Source organism: Homo sapiens, chromosome 10, assembly GCF_000001405.40.
Source record: "Homo sapiens chromosome 10, GRCh38.p14 Primary Assembly".
NCBI lineage: Eukaryota > Metazoa > Chordata > Mammalia > Primates > Hominidae > Homo > Homo sapiens.
The window spans coordinates 89,935,875-89,955,766 of record NC_000010.11 but is presented as its reverse complement, the minus strand read 5'-3'; the positions used below and the strand labels follow the sequence as shown (position 1 = coordinate 89,955,766).

Below are 19,892 nucleotides of genomic sequence, written 5' to 3'. Positions count from 1 at the left end.
CAGTAAAGTTTCATGGTACCTCTTTGCCTATAGGAAGCCATGCAACTCATCAAAATCTACTTGTTATCTAAGTTAGTTTTTTTCTAACAATACCCTAAATATATAGTTCTTCTACAACTTTGATGATATATCCACAATTAATGGATACAACACAACAAGAAACTCAGCAATACTAAATTTTTCAGTCCACCAGTGTCTTTGAAGAGAATATTTGTATTAGCATTTTGTTGCTCATTTATTTCATTCTGCAAAGTTTAAGAAACAACAGATACCTTCCTCACAGTGCAGCATTCTTGAGAAGGGTGCAGAGTGACTGGGTTTTCTCCTGGGTTTACCCAGGCACTTTTTTATTCACTCATCTGTTTCAGAAATAGTCACTATCCTGTTGTCTTCAGCTCCCAGCTTGGGAAACCCACAGAGTCTTTCCCTCCAGGTCACCATTGAGTTTGGCATGCTGTTGACCCTCAGTACATCATACAGCAACTACAAAACAGTAATTTTGTTCTCAGTGCACCCACAGGGCCATTTACTTTGCAGCATCATTCAGAACTTTCAGCAATAACTTTCCTACTTCAAAAAAGATAAAGAGAAGCAGCATGAGGAATCCTTGATGGAAACAAAGCTGAAACAAATATAATCTCTTATAGGATTTTTCTACATAAAATAATGCAAAATCACAACTTATTAAGTCCACAACTTAAAGCAAAATGTATGAAATTACTTTTCACCACAAGTTTTTACTGATATGAATAATGGCTATACTGTCTATATTTTAAATTAACCTTAATGCCATCTAGTGGTCACTGAGAAATTTTTGTTTCAGAAAATTGTTAACTTTAGAAATTGTTAATAACAAAGTAGTAGGAATAACAATAACTGCTGTTGCTGAAGAGACTTATTGAACACCTACAATTCTTCAGAGCTCTATGTTCAGCATTTTATGTTCATTATCTTGTTTTATCTATACAACAACCTAAATAGGTACCGCAGCGCAGTTATGCAAATGAAGAAACCAAAACTTAGTGGTATTAAATGACATGCCATATTCAGAGATCTAGTAAATATCTGACTGGTTTTCAAACCCAATTAGTCTAGTCCATTGCCTTCACACTCATCCAGAATTCTATGCCTCTACTAAACCTCGGTTGTGACTATAGAATATGGTTAATAGACTAACACACATGCACACACACACACACTCACACACAAATGCTAATGTGTTTGAAGGGAGGTGCAACCTCACATTTCCACTCTACAACCAACTCTTATCATGTTCCAATTCCCAGGCTTCTCCTTCAAGCAAGATTTTAATTGCATGGGGATGTTTACATATTCGAAATTCACATATGGTATCTCTAAAATGTGATGGATTCACTCATTCATGCAACAAATAGTTACTGAACTCATGCGTTAGACTCTGTGCTAGGTAATGGGAATGCAGCAGGGAACCAAACAGACACAGTCCTTCCTTTCATGGAGCTTAAAGTACAGCAGGAGGACAGACACATAAATTACATGGATCATGATACAAACTCATTGTGGAAAGAGCAGCTGGGAAAAATGCAGAGTGCTGGCAGGGTGTTTAGTTGGATGACCTTCCTTTGGCACCTAAGCGTTGAGTGAGAAGGGGAGTGAGGGAAGACATCTCTAAAGGAAGGACCTTTAAGAGGAGTCATGAAAGAGTGGGAGTGGGAGTGGGAGTGGGACTGAGCTGGGTGCAGGAGGGCAGCATAGGGATTCCAGGAAAAGCACCTGAGCAGCAAGCAGAAGAGTGTCTCCTAAGGCTCTGCTCCCAGACATTACACTCACACAGTGGAAGCACGACAGTAAGTCAATATGCAATTCAGGCACTCTTAATTCTTGTGCTGTAAATGGAACTTGGATAAAGACCATAATTAAGTCATACTTTTTTATACTTTGAACAAATCACTTTTACTGAAAATACTAAAATTGCATGATGTTGCACTTTATTTGAATACCCAAACATAATGGTACCTATCTATGCTAACTGAAGTTTCCATTGGTACTTATGAATAATTCAAATGCCTCCTAAATAAGATTTTTAGTTTGGTTGGAGATTATGAAAATAACACTCATGGCAGATAATGTGAATAACACAGAAGGAACCAAGGAAAAAAGAAGAAAAACAACTAATCCTCATATCTCACAACCCAGAGGCAAATAATGTAAACCTTTTGGAATGCTTCCTTCCAGTCTTTTTCTCTATTAATATTTTATAAAAATAAGATTTTATAATTTAATTTATTCATTCAGTGTAATAATTATTTCATTTGTTTTTACAAACTCTTTGTTAATATCACTGTAATAGCCAGATGCTATTTTATTAGGTGGACACATCCTAGTTTACTTAACCCATTTCCAAGCTGTTCAGTAGGTGGATTGTTTCCAATGTTTACTAAACAATGAATGACATATGAATAATGAATGGCATATGACAAATAATATATAATAAATAACACATTGCATAAAACTAACTTTTTTATAACGGTTTGTCCACCAGAATAGAACTCAGTAAATAGTAGACATTATTGTCAAGTGGTTAAGTAACTGACACAGCTTATTTGTATATCTGAAAAGAATTTAGAAAGTAACAAAGCAATTTACAAAAGCAAAACCACTGCTCAAGAACATTGACTATCAACCACCTCTTCCCATTCTTCCTTGTACTGTGAGTTGATTTCTGCCTTGATCTTAAGACAGGCTGCAGTAAAAGTTAATGGGTATTTTTGTCATGTTGGAGAATCCCAGGAAGCCATTCTAAAATCCCATTTGTGAAATGATGTGTCACATTAACACATTTTATGGGCTTAATCTTGTGCTGCTAATTGAATAATTTAATATTTGTGACACTAGCTTGACTCACACAATTACACACACACACAAAAAAAAGGAGTTGTAAGCTGTTACATCTCAGCTGTTCTTTACTTTGAGCATGCCCTGGTGTTTTTTAAGCTATATTTAGTGTTTTGCCATTTACAAGACAACTTCTATCTCTTTGGATATTTGCTTGATGTGAATGCAAATTGGAGTTGCAAGTTTTCTTCTTCTAACTAGGTACTCTTTAGTAGGTATATGCCCAGTCCAGATGCCAGGACTCTTAAACAGAGTTTTCACTGAGAGGCATTGACAAGATATAGAAATTACATCCTTGTGCCATGAGTAAGGACAGTGGTAATGACAGTGGCAGGCCATCTAAAGCAGCTGCTGTCATCACACTGGCTGCTGCAGGGAGACAGCGCTGGGGCTGCACACTCCAGGGAGCCAGCAGGAGCCAGGGACAAGTGAGAGCCCTGCCCCTTCCAAATTGAGGCAGAGGCTCCCTGGGTACCACTGCAGCCAACCAAGCTATGGCTGCAAACCTGGGCATCCCTGTGCTCTCAGGACCCAGAAGCAGGTGGGAACCCCACTCTTCTGGGTGCAGCTGCAACTGCCCAAACCACAGCTGTGGACTCAGGTATCCCTGTACTTTTGGGGACCAAGGAAGGCCCTCCTTGCCCTCACAAGCTCAGAAGTGGGAAGTGCTTGCTCCCGCTGCTCTTGCTGGCTTCTGCCTGCTCTTGGTGCCCATTCCGATCTCAGAGCAAAGTCAGGGCTGAACCCAGGCACTGACATGGCCCAGTGAGGTGTGCACATGCTTGGGGCAGTGCTGACATGTTAGCCCCCTGCCACCTTGGCCCCCTCTGGACTTTAGGGGCTAATGAGCATAGTAGGGAAGCTGAGCAGGGGTGGCTGAGGGCAGCTCTTGGCACCTACAGCCTGGGTGCCATGAATGACAGTAGGAAGCAGCGAGGTTCCTGGAAAGGAGGGAATGGGTCCCCAGTAAGGTGCTGCTTTCAAGCAAGGGAGGGCCTGAAGGCTGGGTGCTGGGCTGCCAGTCCCACAGACCAGAGTAGAATCTTGTGACGCCTTTTCCAGGCCTTCCATGGGTGCCCATGGACCAATAAACACATACTTCCTCCCCTTTGAGGTCCATAAAAGCCCTGGACTCAGCCAGAGCTGAGCAGACATTGGGACAATCAGCTGCAGAGAGGAGCAACTCACTCTAGGGCCTCCTTTCTGCTGAGAACTGCAGAGACAACAGAGAGAGAATGGAGAGATAACAGGATGACCTGCCAGCAGAGACGAGCCACCCACTCTAGGGCCTCCTCTCTGCTGGCAGCTGCTCAGATGATGGGACAACCAGCTGCAGAGAGGAGCTACCCTCTCTGCTGATAGCTGGACACTTGTTGAGATGACTTGCCTAGCAGAGAGGAGCTACCCTCTCTGCTAGGAGCTGAACACTCATCAGGACACCCTGGCTGCAGCAAGGAGCATCCCCCTGTGGGTTTCCCCTCAGTTGTTCTATCACTCAGTAGAGCTCCTCCTCATCATGCTCACTCTCCACTTATCTGCCTACCTCATTCTTCCTGGGCACAGGACAAGAACTCAGGATCTGCTGAATAAGGCTAAAAGAGCTGTAACACAAACAGAGATGAGATATGCCCCATTGTTCACCATGTCGCAGGTGAAGAGAAGGAAAGAAATGCTGCAGCCCTTCAGGGACCCCAGACACGGGAGCTCCTTGAGTTAAGCCCGTGACTCCCTCTTTGAGGCCCTGTGGTTCCTGGCATCTCCAAGCTTCTGGGAAGCATTATATTCCTCAGTGCCAGCTGTGGAAGCTGTTTGCAGGGCACCTGGTCCAGCTGCAGGCTCGCAGAGAGCTGGTGCCCATGCTGGCACCTGGAGCTGCCCACCCTACTACATCAGCTGACATGCCTGATTGCACAGTGGCCAGACCCCACACTCACTCACACACCCGTCGCCACTCCATGCAGCCTTATTTGGCAGGCATGGGAACCACGCCAGTAGCATAAGCCAAGTGCAGCCTCCCAGGCCAAGTGGGCAGAATGAGACCAGTGGGCTCAGGCAAAACTTGGGCAAAGATGTCACCAGCCACAGAAGTTTCCAGCCAGAAAAGCAACACCCCAAAGATCAGATAACAGTGGGAGATGAAAGGTGATGTTTTGAATGGCAGTACTGGACTTCTCAGAGCTTTTAACAATCCTTTCACCCCACAGCCTACAGATGAAAAGGGTGACTATGTAGACTGGTCCATAGTGACCACATAAATACGTGCCACTTATACGGAATCTGGTGAAAGCAGGAGATCTTCAGGGTTAAGTCTGACATTTCAGAGTCAAACTCACTAAGTTTGACCCTTGGCTCATCTATACATTATAAACAACCTTGGGCAAGTATGTCACCTAACCTTTTAATAAGTCACTTTCCTTTTTTAAAAAATGGAGATAAAAATGATGCCTACTATATAGGATTGTTGGGAAGAGTAAATGAAATAATTTATGGAGAGCTCCTAGCACAGTGTCTGGCACATGGAAAACACCCGTTTATTATTATTGTTACTATAACTATTAGTCTTTTGCATCAGTGAGTTAAATTTTTACTTCCATTAGATCTATCTGATGTGTAATGTACTCTTCAAACATCCTTTATTTCTTATTCTAATATAATGCACTGTCAAAAATCTGTTCTCCTTGGTAACAATCTATAATTTGAAATGCACAACTTGTTGGAAGGGCAGAAGGACAGGTAATGAATACCTTAGAATTACTTTGACTTAAATAAATATTTCCTTTCCTTCATTGAAAAGCTCTATGGAGAAAGGAACCATGTCTGCTTTGTTGACCAGCTGCAAGCATGGTGTCTGGCACACAATGGGCACATACGTAGTATGTATTTAAGTGGGTAGATAAATAGTCTTAAAACAATTCCCCAATTTTACAAATGCCCATTTCTGAGCTCAGTTCAACTGAACATATTTTCTTTCTTTTTTTTTTTTAACAGAAGTCACCAGAATGGAACCTTTTTGTTAAGCTTTCCCTTTACCTCAGATAGACAGCTGTCCTTGACAAACACAAAGTCAGTCTTGGCTGTCTCAGAAAAGCACTGTGTGTCAATGTCAGAGAGCCCAGTGGGCCTAGCATAAGGTTCACAACATTTCTAACTCTTCAAATCAAGTATTATTTTGGAAGTTGCCAACTTAACAAGCAACTTTGACTCCATGCAAACTAAAAATGGCATTTGAAAGTTGAAATTTCATTAAATCTGCTGTTTTCTGAGACTTCATCCAACTGGGACATCTGTTTGTAACACCAAAGGGGTATGTAATCCCAAAATTATGATTGGATTATATTCAAGTCATTAAAAAAGATGAATTCATGACATATTACTTTTAGGCAAACTCAATCTATATTACTGTCTGCATTCTCTCCTCTGCTAACGAAGAGACTCTCCTCTTCCCTTACAAATTCTTGTTTTGTGCTTTATCAGAATGTCCAGGCCAAAGCAATTTAACGCAATATCAAATTCATACTCTAGAATATAACCTCCTTCCACAAACTCTTTTTTATGTTTTTCTTTATTTTTAATTTTTCTGGGTACATAGTAGGTGTATATATTTATAGGGTACATGAGATGTTTTGATACAGACATGCAATGTGAAATAAGCCCATTATGGAGAATGGGGTATCCATCCCCTCAAGCATTTATCCCTTGCATTACGAACAATTCAATTACACTCTTTTAGGTATTTTTAAATGTGCAATTAAATTATTATTGACTATAGTCACCCTGTTGTGCTATCAAATAGTAGGTCTTATTCATTCTTTCTATTTTTTGTACTCATTAACCATCCCCACCTCCCACCCAGGCCCCTACTACCCTTCCTAGCCTCCTGTAACCATCCTTCTACTCTAAATGTCTAGAAGTTGAATTGTTTTGATTTTTGGACTCCATGCATAAACGAGAACATGAGGTGCTTGTCTTGCTGTGCCTGGCTTATTTCACTTAACATAACAATCTCCAGTTCCGTTCATGTTATTGCAAATGACAGGATCTCATTCTTTTTAATGGCTGAATAGTACTCATTGAATATATGTACCACATTTTCTTTATCCATTCATCTGTTGATGAACACTTAGGTTGCTTCCAAATCTTAGCTATTGTGAACAGTGCTACAACAAACACGGGAGTGAAGATATCTCTTTGGTGTATTGATTTCCTTTCTTTTGAGTATATACCCAGCAGGGAGATTGCTGGATAGTAAGGCAGCTCAATGTTTAGTTTTTTGAGGAACCTCCGAACTGTTCTCCTTAGTGATTGTACTAATTTATACTCCTGTCAACAATGTGTAAGGTTCCCCTTTTCTCCACATCCTCACCAGTATTTGTTATTGCCTGACTTTTGAATATAAGCCATTTTAACTGTAGTGAGAAGATATCTCATTGTAATTTTAATTGACATTTCTCCAGTGATCAATGATATGAGCAACTTTTCATATACCTATTTGTCACTTGTATGTCTTCTTTTGGGAAATGTCTATTCAAATCTTTTGCTCATTTTTGATCAGATTGTTAGATGTTTTCTTATTGAGTTGTTTGAGATGCTTATATATTCTGGTTACTAAACCCTTGTCAGCTAGGTAGTTGCAAGTATTTTCTCCCATTCTGTGGGTTGTTTCTTCACTTTATTGATTGCTTCCTTTGCTGCGCAGAAGATTTTTAACTTTGTGTGATCCCATTCATTCATTTTTGCTTTGGTTGCCTGTGTTTGTAAGGTATTGCTCAATAAATTTTTGCCCAGACCAATGTCATGGAGAATTCTCTCAAAGTTTTCTTCTAGTAGTTTTATAGTTTGAGGTTTTAGATTTATGTCTTTAATCTGTTTTGATTTAATTTTATATATGGCAAGAGATAGGGATCTAGCTTCATTCTTCTGCATATGGATATCCCATTTTCCCAGCACCATTTATTGAAAAGACTGTCCTTTCCACAATGTAGTTTCTTGATGCCTTTGTCAAAAATGAGCTCACTGTAGATGTATGCATTTGTTTCTGAGTTCTCTATTCTGTCCCATTGCTCTATGTGTCCGTGTTTATGCCAGTACCATGCCATTTTGGTTACTCTAGCTCTATAGTATGATTTGAAGTTAGGTAATGTGATTCCTCCAGTTTTGTTCTTTTTGCTTAGGATAGCTTTGGCTATTCTGGGTCTTTTGTGGTTCCATATAAATTGTAGGATTGTTTTTTCTATTTCTGTGAAGAATGTCATTGGTATTTTAATAGAGATTGCATTGAAACTGTAGATTGCTTTGGGTAGTGTGGACATTTTAACAATATTGATTCTTCCAATCTGTGAACGTGGAATATTTTTCCATTTTCTGGTGTCCTCTTCCACTTTTTTCATTAGTGTTTTAGAATTTTATCACAGAGATCTTTCATTTCTTTGGCTAAGTTGATTTCTAGGTATTTAATTTTATTCATGGTTCTTGTAAGTGAGGTTACTTTTTAAATTTATTTTTTAGATTGTTCACTATTGGCATATGATTTTTGCATATTGGTTTTGTATCCTACAACTTTACTGAATTTGTTTATCAGTTCTAATAGGTTTTTTGTGGAGTCTTTAGGTTTTTCCAAATACAAGATCATATCATCTGCAAACAAGGATAATTTGACTACTTCCATTCCAAATTGCATGCCCTTTATTTCTCCTGTCTGATTTCTCTAGCTAGAACTTTCAGTACTATGTTGAATAACAGTGGTGAAAGTGGGCCTCCTTGCCATGTTCCAGATCTTAGAGGAAAAGCTTCAGATTTTCCCCATTCAGTATGATACTAGCTGTGGGTCTGTAATATATGTTTTTTTATGTTTAGGTGTGGCCCTTATATACCCAGATTTTTAAGAGTTTTATCATGAAGTGATGTTGAATTTTATCAAATGCTTTTTCAGCATCAATTGAAATAATCATATGGTTTTGTCCTTCATTCTGTTGATATGATGTACCATATTGATTGATTTGCATACGTTGAGCCATCCTGGCATGGCAGGGATAAATGCTACTTGATCATGATGAATGATCTTTCTAAAGTATTGTTGAATTTGGTTTGCTAGTATTTTGTTGAAGATTTTTGCGTCAATATTTATCAGAGATATTGGCCTGTCGTTTTCCTTTTTGATGTGTCTTTCATGGCATCAGGGTAATACCGGCCTCATACAATGAGTTTGGAAGTATTTCCTCCTTTTCTATTTTTCAGAATAGATTAAGTGGAATTGGTATTAGTTCTTTAAGTGTTTGGTAGAATTCAGCAGTGAAGCTATCAGGTCCTGGACTTTTCCTTCCACAAATTCTGAAATGAATCTTTTTTTAATATTAAAGATGCCCTGTATCTGGGGTGGTCATGCATCTTAGTTTGCCTGGAATCGTTACATTTCATGAGACTTGACATTTATTTGCCTTGGAATTTTATAACAACTGCACTGAAATGTTATCCAGCTTAGCATTTTTTCTGATTTTATTTTCATTTGTAATAAAGTGTTATTATTAGTAGTAGTAGTAGACTTAAAATAGGCATGGTTAGGATTGGTTGACTTTCACTTTCAGTTTCCAGCCTCTGTTATGGTCTCATTTAGTAGTATGTCAGATGCATTTGCAGTAAATAGACTTCTCACTTTAACTTGTAGTTAAGTCTGGAAGATAACCGGCAATCACCCTCTCTCTATTCCTGACCTTCTCCAGACCCTTTTGAGGACAGCACATGCGGTGCTAAAATGAAGTATCCTTAGTTCTACTAATTTTAGGAGGTAATATGCCATGTATTAAGTGCCAAAAACTTCTGGTTTTGAAGCTTTTATCAAACTGCAATTATTGAAAGCAAATCTTGCAAGCATAAAGACAAGTTTATCCTTAAAAGGCATCCTTGTTAGCTTATCCTTGTGTTCTACTAACACAAGGAATGAATTCTTGTGTTCATTCTTATTAAAAAAAATAATGAGACAGTTTAAGCAAGGGGCCAAGTGATATAGATTTATTTTTGAAATTCTATAATTGCTCTTTGAAGTATCTTGACTTAGGGGAAGAAAATTGATGCAACCCTGGGGAGGAGAGTAAAAAAGCAGCTCACATACCAAAGACAGCTAACCAAAAGCAATGAACTCCTCAAAAGCAACATAATTCTTTGGGAGGCTGAGGCAGGCAGATCGCTTGAGGTCAGGAGTTCGAGACCAACCTGGGCAACATGGCAAAATCCTGCCTCTACAAAAAGTTAGCCAGATGTGGTACTGCACGCCTGTAGTTCCATCTACGCAGGAGGCTGAGGTGGGACAATCACCTAAGCCTGAGGAGGTGAGGCTTCAGCAAGCCATGATTGTGCCACTGCATTCCAGCCTGGATGACAGAATAAGACTCTATCTCAGGAAAAAAAAAAAAAAGACACTTTAAGACAAACAAGCTTTTAAGAAATTTACCTCCTATGCATCTTCTTTCTCAGGAAGCTACTGGAAGGCATTCCTCTCCAAAAATGAGAGCAAAACCCAAGAAAGAGTAAAACAAAGAATCCAGGATATAGGGAATCCAACATAGAAGAGAGCAAAGAAATTTCTTAGAAGGAGAGTGAGGGCAGACTCAGAATAGTTAGTGTCAAGAGCAATTAGTCCAGATTCAATGATGCAGGAGTCTTCAGAGATGTTTCCGACAAAGAAAAAAGTTACTAATAAATGATGTGTTACTTACATTGTAAAATATTATTTTGAGAAGTGTGAGGCTGATTTAGTTAGGGGTTTAAAAGTAAGCATTTAAAATGAGGTGTTTATGAATTTGTAAAAAACAAAAAGTTGAACAAGAAAGAAAATGTCATAACACACTATAAGGAAATATAACACACCATAAGATTAAGCTACAAGAAATATTATGTTTATTATATTCACTATATATACACACCCACACACACATATATATAGTGAAAACATTGACTTTTTTTGCCTCCCAGTTATGATTGTGATAGAACCATTTTGTACTTGGGTGTGCAAGGGGAGAGGAGGTTCTAAGCTTATTAAATTAAACAGAAAAATAAATGATCATATTTAAAACCAAGAAGCAAAATAAATAGATGAATAAATGGATTATTTATAAATAAGGAGATAAATGCCTGAAACAACTGCTAAAATGGTTGAAAGTGGTGGTGCCTGTATGGCATAAGCAGATGAGGAAGAAAGAAAAGGGGCAGATGAACGCTCTTTTCTGTTTTTGACCTTGAAATACTCTTTGACTTAAAAAATGTATGTGTATTATATAGATTCAAAAACTAGCACTTTCCAATTTCTCCACCCTCCATCCCCAATCTTTTTTTAACAATTGGTGAGAAAGGCATCTTGTGTAGGTTTGAGGAGAAGGGCAGGAGAGGAAATGGATAACAAGGAACTTGGACGGCCCTGAGGATGGGAGAAGAAAGCAACTGACTCCACAGTTTAACTTCAGGCCAACCCTCCAGATAACAGTGTCAGAGAATTCCTTTGCAGAATCTAGGGCTTGGCACACTCATCAGTCATGCCTTTCATAATGACAGCTAAGACATGTGTTGTAATCTGTCATCAGAGGCCCTCCTGCAAGTGATCTGGAAAAGTGAACAAATACCTTGCAGTAGATATTGGTTCTAACTAAACCTGTCAGTTTAGTCAGATACTGTCTTTTTTGTGATGGTAAGTTCTTGCTGTGTAACTTTCTTCAGTGTGTCCAGTAATTTTGGTGTTCAGTCTTTCTATGTGACCAGTAATCCAGAGGATAAATAAAAGGGTAGTTACATAACTAGTTAATATGATGTGCATGCGTGCCTAGGTCTCTAGCCAGGCTGTCATCCCTCTTACAATATTAGCTGTGCTTTATGCATTTTAATTTTTTCAGTAATTCTTCATTAACATTTAATTGCAGGTAATAAGTAGGAAAAGACTCCCAAATGCTTAAATAAGAACCAGTCTGATTATTTTGTACCCCCATGCCTAGGAGAGTCCATGCCATTCAATTAAAACAACAATTAATGAGCATAATCTGGGTACTGTGAGGGGTTTAAAAATATGAGAATCAGATAAGGATTCAGTTGCCTGGGGACTGACTTCCTAGCACTAGAGAGAGAGAGATGTATAGAACTATCTCCATCCACTGAAGATTCTTAGATGCTAAATGGGTACAGATGAGTGTCCAGTGAAAGTCATTCTGGCTGGAGGCTGAGGATAATAACTGGGCCTTGAAGACCAGGTAGGATTTCTTGGTGGAGATGAGTGGCATGGAAACTAAGTAAAGGGAATAGTGTGGGAAAAGGCTCAGGGAAGGTAGAGTGCATTTGGAGAATAAGAAGTGGAAGGGTGTTATTGGACCACAGCATAATGCAAGGACAGGACATGTCCATTGAAGACCGCAAGGAGCTGAAAGCAGAAACTTCTTTGGAAGAAAGATAATGACTTTAGTTTCCTATTCCCAAAATTTATCTTTTGTATTGAAGACTTGTTTCCTGGGAGACTTAAATCATGTCCAAGATAGAAATGAGATGATTGGTAAAGGGAAGTGGTCTGGAAGTGATTGTGAGAACATGGTGATAATTTAAATGCAAGTACCTTCAGTGAGTGACTATAAATGCAACACAGAGGAGCCAATGAGGGGTTGGGGTGAGCTTAGAAATTAGGCAGTCAGTACTACAGAGGTAAAAAATCATAAGGGTGAATGAGCTCACATGAGGAGTGAGTGCAAAGGATGGAAGGCCGAAGATAGATTCTGTTAGTAGACAGAAACCAATAAATACAGAAGAGGTGGTCATCAGAAGGGTAGTAGAGCTGCAGGGGAGAAAGCATGTGTCACAGAAACCCAAAGTGGGTAAAACTAGAACTGATGGGTGGTTGACTATTAAAAGCCATTCAGACACAACTGAGTGAAGACTTGGAAAAGGCTATTTAGTCTGGAAGCTTAGAAGTCACTAGTAAATTTTGAAAGTAAACATGACTGGGGGCCGGAGTAAGGCATCAAAGAAGGGATGAAAGGAGATGGAGACGGAAGGAGAGGAGAAGACAATGTAAGCAAACCTCTTAAGAAAACTAGATTAGATGATTAGCCCCTTAGTAACCAGGTTAATTACAATAAACCTGTGGATTTAACAACACCTGTCAACAAATGAACAAACAGATGCAGCTTCCTGTATTGATATATAAATATTTCTATTCAGTGTCCATTCATATTTTCTTACTTTATTGCATTCTCTTTGATTTTACTTGACGTTGTCCATTTAATTTGGAGATATCGGGACTATACAATTTGGGGATTAATTTAATTACTTCCTGTTTTCTATGTCACTATTACTTGGCAATTTCATATGGTTCAAACCAATTAAAAGGAAGTAATAAATTACTTTATTGCCAATAATCAGCAGCACAGTAGTACAGGCTCATTCAGAACACTGGGTACTTGAGACATGTTTTCTGGTTTTGTGGTCTAACCACCCATTTTTACTATGGCCAACAGAGTGTGGCTAGAGAGTCTGAATAGCAACTAGAATGCAGACAGGGTGTGGTGGGAGGAAAGTGGTCCAGGAGAGAGGTTAGAAGAGACCACAGAGGAAGGGAAAGTCAATAGCCTTAGGAGAGTCTCACAGACCACCCTAGCGTCTACTGGGATTTATTCTGGGTGAAATAGCATATAGTCACCTAAGTTATCTGGTTTCTTAGCCACATCTGCCTTTCATATCATGTCACCAATACTTTACTGAAGATTATTTTCAATATAGTTTTATTATTTGTAAGTATTTCTAAAATTGCCCACAGTCTTCTTGAAAGCTTCACTTAATGGTTTATAAATTAAAAGTTCTTGACATCTTCCATCAACTCTTTCTTAGAACTATAATAGTTCCAACTGAGAATATATTCGGAGGTACTGGGGAATATTCGGTAAGTTAAGAGTAAATTATGTTCAGTGGTGATATTCTCAATCCTAATTTTCTTGATAGTGAATTAAATATTTTATCCCAGATATTTTCACAGGTTTGTCTTTTTAACTTCATTCATAGTACCTGTTCTTTAACAGATGTTTTTCAAGAAAAAACTTGTTGAATAAGTTGTCTCTGTGATTGTTTTGAATATGTGGCCATAATATTTAGATGCTGCAAAATTGTAGAAATTATCCATTTCATTGCATTTTAGAATAGAATATGACTTTGTCCTGTTTACTAACACTTTTGTGCAATAATTCCATGCAAAGCCTATTATTTCCGTGGTTTCCCAATGACTTTCAGTACTGCAGTTGACTTCTGATGCTAACCACCTGGAGTTAGGTTAAATAAACTTCATCAGTTAAGGGCACAGTCCCTCCTAGTCTGCCCTCACTTCAGACACCACCCATAGGCTCAGGGGTTGCCAGGCCACCTGCACTTCTGATCAACTAGTTATAAATCCAGGGGTTTCGACTACCCTCTCACGTTCAATAAGTCATTATAACAATTCACGGAACTCAAGAAAGTGTTGTACTTGCAACTGCTGTTTCATTACAGCAAAAAAGGATGCAAATCAAAACTAGCCAGTGAAAATAAGAGACACATAGGGCACGATCTAGGAGGGTCTCAGATGCAGGATTTCCATGTCCTCTCCTCATGGGGTCAGGGTATATTACCCTCCCGGCATATCAGTGTGCACCACCAGCCAGAAAGCTGACCAAACTCCAAGTATCCAGAGTTTTTATTAGTGTTTCATTATGCCAGCATGATTTAATTGAATCTTCAACACTTCTCCACCCAACTCCAGAGATTGGGATGTCAGGCTGATATCACATGGCTCAAAGCCCCAAGCCTCTAAATCATGGTTGGTCTTTCTGTCATGGCCAGTCTCCATTCTGAAATCAAATAGGATAGGGACCCACTAGTAGTTACCTCACTAACGTAAACCCAGGTGTGTTTCAAGGGGCCCACCACAAATAACAAAAACACTCCTATCTCTTCAGAAATCCCAGGGTTTAAAGGCTTCCTCTCAGAAACTGAAACCAACGTCCAGCCAAATTTTTCACACAACAAAAAAATCATAATCCTTTTATGAAATAAAATCTTAGGAATATCTTTTTTAATTAGGAAAGCTAGGTAAAAGCAGAACTTCTGTGATCAAAGCCTGTGGTTATTGTTTTGCATCATTAAATGAGTGAAAAATGAAATGTCCAACTCAAAAAACAAATAGATTTAAAACATCAGATATTTGAAAGTGGGGGTCACCTACATTCCTAAACACTGATGACAAGATTTTTGTAGAAATCTTAGTTGTGAAAGCAAACGAAAATAACAGAGTATTCTACCAACAGTGCCTAAAGGGATAAATTCCATGTGCCTAAAAGGATGTGGAAAGAGCTGAGGAACTGGAAAGCATGAGAGAACAAAAAGATGGAAAAGAGAAAAGCATTTCTTCTGTTTGGATCCAGAAGTAGAGAATGATTTAAAAATGTCTTCTTGCAGGTCATGCAAGTATATATCAGGGCAGATAAGCCCTAAAACATGAAAGCTGGTATACTCCAATGCAATAAGGCCAGCGATTGTTCCTACACTCATGAGATTGTGGTTGAAAGCAACTAAGGTCACCAGGGGAGTAAGGCAAGGCTGGCATGCAGCCCTTGTTGCCATGAGGCCTGTGGACCTGCCAATAGTCATAAGCATGTTTGAACACAGAATCACAACATTAAGACTGGATCCAGCCAAGGTGCAGGAAGGAGGTATCACACAGGTAAAGTTCAAGTTTGGAAAGAAGCCTTTAAAATATACCAAGGGTGTTTCAGGGAAGCTGAGTAAGACTTCAAAAGCATGCAGAGCCACAAAAATGAAAGGAAATAAAAATATTAGTGAGTATGCCAACATGAAGTCCAGGCTGATGAAATTCTTGGCAGTTGCATAGAAAATTGGCAAAAGAAGGGGAAAAAAGGCAGTAAGTTTGCAAAGGGTTTGAGAGTAGTTTGTGCCTGCTTAAGAAGATGGCAGCATCAATCACTTGTATATTATTTTGATTGCCAAGACCTCCCTTTTTATGATTCAAGCCCTTCTGTCTTCTTAAAAGGCAAGAGTAGGAAATGTGCCTTAAGTCTGCATAAAATGTGCACATTAACCTGGATTTATGTATATCTCAAAGACCCCTTCCCCCAACATACATTTTTGCTGTCTTGTTCCATTTCTATCCCCTCTTACCACCCATCTGTAACTTCTGCTCAAAGGATGAAAAGGTTATTGTGTTAGTCTAGTCTTACATTGCTATAAAGGAATACCTGAGACTGGATAATTAATAAAGAAAATTGGTTTATTTTGGCTTAAGTTTCTGTAGGCTGTAAAAGAAGTGTGGTGCCAGCATCTGCTTCTGGTGAGGCCTCAGGAAGCTTACAATCATGGTGGAAGGCAAAGGGGAGCCAGCCTGTCATATGGTGAGTGCAGGAGCAAGAGACAGAGAGGAGAGAGGTGCCATACTCTTAAACAGCCAGATCTCACATGAACCTAGAGCAAGAACTCACTCATCACCAAGGGGATGGTGCTAAGACATTCATGAGGGATCTCTCCTCATGAACCAATACCTTTCACTAGACCCCACATCCAACATTGGAAGTCACATTTCCACATGAGATTTGGAGAGGACAAACATCCAAACCATATCAACTATTATCCAGAGAAAGAAGTGGATTGACTGCTGCAAATCTCACTGTTTATCCTAAGAAAAGACAACTCACTGACTTCCTAGCTCTTGGTACCTTCAGCCTCTACTTAAGAATATAGGCTTTTGGGATATCTTTGGACTCAGGGTCCTCTCATATTCTCAGCTTCATTTGTTTGGGAGAAAATGCCCATACTTCATAGAGTCTAGAGACAGGAGAGTTTCTATAGATACAATAGATAAATGGAAGCTTGTGACCCATAGATTGTCTATTGCAGAATGGCAGTGATCAAAAACACTGCTGAATACTGGAGCAGCAACATCTCCAAATACCCAGTGCTTAACTGGGAAGCTCTAATGGTCTCCTAATTCTACTGACATGATTATAGGATTAGCTAGCTATTACATCTGCCATCAATAACGTGCTCCATTGGTGAAGGCCTTTGCCATAATTGTATACCACAATAAAGCCACTGTTTATAGATTCAAAAAATTGATGCTGGAGGGAGAAGAGGCTGATTCATCTCTCATACTTCCTGGCCTGCAGGAAGTTAATGCTTTTAGAGTTTCAGAATTCAGAGAGCAAGAATCCATCCCAGTTGCAAACAATACTTCAACTCCCATTGCCCATGCTGCCACACCCCTACCTATGTTGAAAGATTTAAGGTAAAGGAAGACTCCTGTGAATGAAGAAAGTGTTAACGTGAACTTGGATGCACATTTCTCTAGCAAAAAATATATATATTGTTGAGTCAGGGAGAGAAAAGTAATGTAGAATGTGAAAGATCAAGGTGACAATCACCAATAAAATACCTAGAGAAAGTTGACTTTCAATTTGACATTATCTTTTAAAATTGAGAATACGTATAGTCTTCTGAATACTGTCATCACTGAGCATCATCTGACAATTTTTCTCTCAAGGAGTCAATCCTCCATGATCCATTAAAATTCCAGGTCATGCTGCCAACTTTTACCTGTCATCAATCACTAAAGACTCTGACACAAACTACACTTTCAGTTAAGTCCAGAAAACTATCAAACAGTAAAAGAACTTTTGGAAGAATGAAATATCAGAGCTCAATTTTACGTCATATTCTGAATATTTTTTTCTGGCTAATTCAAAATGCTTGTATTCGGCAAAGACCTACTCAAAATTAGAAATACGTTAAATATGTCTTTTCTTATTTTCCATAGAAATGGAGAATCATTAGACTGAGCCTAAATTAGCCAAATAAACTAGAAAGAAAGCGAAGCTATTATTTCCCAGTAACACAACACTGAGGAGGAAACTGCAACAAAAATACTTTTGAGAAAAAATATATATATTGAGTTTCAATTTTTTTATAGATCATGTCCCATTTCAGCTTGCCTGTACAAATATCCAAAGGATTATATGGTGTTTTTTTTTTAAATGGATTTCTTTATGCTTAAGACTCATCATTTTCTAATAGGCAACCAAGGAATCTGACACTCCACCAGTAAAGCTGCCCAATCAGGCAGCTGTGAGGCTTAGCAACACACACACAAATGCCAACCCATCAAGTTGGCCAGACTGCTCAAGAGCCTAAAGGTGATTGAGCAAATCTGCACATAAAAATTAATCCTGAATGAAAGGGAGGAGGCTCAAAGATGGCCAAATAGGAACAGCTCCAGTCTAAAGCTCCCAGCGTGAGTGATGCAGAAGATGGGTGATTTCTGCATTTCCAACTGACGTATCAGGTTCATCTTGCTGGGGCTTGTTGGACAGTGGGTGCAGCCCACGGAGTGTGAGCCAAAGCAGAGCGGGGCATCGCCTCACCCTGGAAGCACAAGAGGTAGGGGAATTCCCTTTCCTAGCCGAGGGAAGTCATGACAGATGGTACCTGGAAAATCGGGACTCTCCCACCCTAATACTGTGCTTTTCCAACAGTCTTAGCAAACGACACAGCAGGATATTATATCCCGCACCTAGCTTGGAGGGTCCCACACCCATGGAGCCTTGCTCACTGCTAGCACAGCAGTCTGAGATTGAACTGCAAGGTGGCAGCGAGGCTGGGGGAGGGGCATCCATCATTGCTGAGGCTTGAGTAGGTAAACAAAGTGGCCAGGAAGCTCGATCTGGGTGGAGCCCACTGCAGCTAAAGGAGGCCTGCCCACCTCTGTAGACTCCACCTCTGGGGGAGGGCATAGCTGAACAAAAGGCAGCAGAAACCTCTGCAGACTTAAATGTCCCTGTCTAACAGCTTTGAAGAGAGTAGTGGTTCTCCCAGCACAGAGGTTGAGATCTGAGAATAGACAGACTGCCTCCTCAAGTGGGTCCCTGACCCCCGAGTAGCCTAACTGGGAGGTAGCTCCCAGTAGGGGCCGACTGACACCTCATACAGCCAGGTGCCCCTCTGAGATGAAACTTCCAGAGCAAGGATCCAGCAGCAACATATGCCATTCTGCAGCCTCCACTGGTGATACGCAGGCAAACAGGGTCTGGAGTGGACCTCCAGCAAACTCCAACAGACCTGCAGCTGAGGGTCCTGACTGTTAGAAGGAAAACTAATAAACAGAAAGGACATCCACACCAAAACCCCATCTGTACGTCACCATCATTAAAGACCAAAGGTAGATAAAACCACAAAGATGGGGAGAAACCAGAGCAGAAAAGCTGAAAATTCTAAAAATCAGAGCACCTCTTCTCCTCCAAAGGAACACAGCTTCTCAACAGCAATGGAACAAAGCTGGACAGACAATGACTTTGATGAGTTGAGAGAAGAAAGCTTCAGACGATCAATAATAACAAACTCCTCCGAGCTAAAGGAGGATGTTCAAACCCATTGCAAAGAAGTTAAAACCTTGAAAAAAGATTAGACAAATGGTTAATTAGAACAAACAGCATAGAGAAGACCTTAAATGACCTGATGGAGCTGAAAAGCACGGCACGAGAACTACATGACGCATACACAAGCTTCAGTAGCCAATTCGATCAAGTGGAAGAAAGGATATCAGTGATTGAAGATCAAATGAATGAAATGAAGTGAGAAGAGAAGTTTAGAGAAAAAAGAGTAAAAAGAAATGAACAAAGCCTCCAAGAAATACGGAAATATGTGAAAAGACCAAATCTACATCTGATTGGTGTACCTGAAAGTGATGGGGAGAATTGAACCAAGTTGGAAAACACTCTTCAGGATATTATCCAGGAAAACTTCCCCAATCTAGCAAGGCAGGCCAACATTCAAATTCAGGAAATACAGAGAATGCCACAAAGATACTCCTCGAGAAGAGCAACTCCGAGACACATAATTGTCAGATTCACCAAGGTTGAAATGAAGGAAAAAATGTTAAGGGCAGCCAGAGAGAAAGGTCGGGTTACTCACAAAGGGAAGTCCGTCAGACTAACAGCGGATCTCTCGGCAGAAACACTACAAGC

The 19,892-nt window shown here is 39.7% G+C and overlaps 1 long non-coding RNA gene across 1 annotated transcript in view; it reads left to right on the top strand.

Annotated features, from left to right (window-relative positions):
- The window catches only part of LINC01375 (long intergenic non-protein coding RNA 1375), a 41,885-nt gene that overhangs the window by 1,607 nt on the left and 20,386 nt on the right, over positions 1 to 19,892 (top strand). The window lies entirely within an intron of this gene.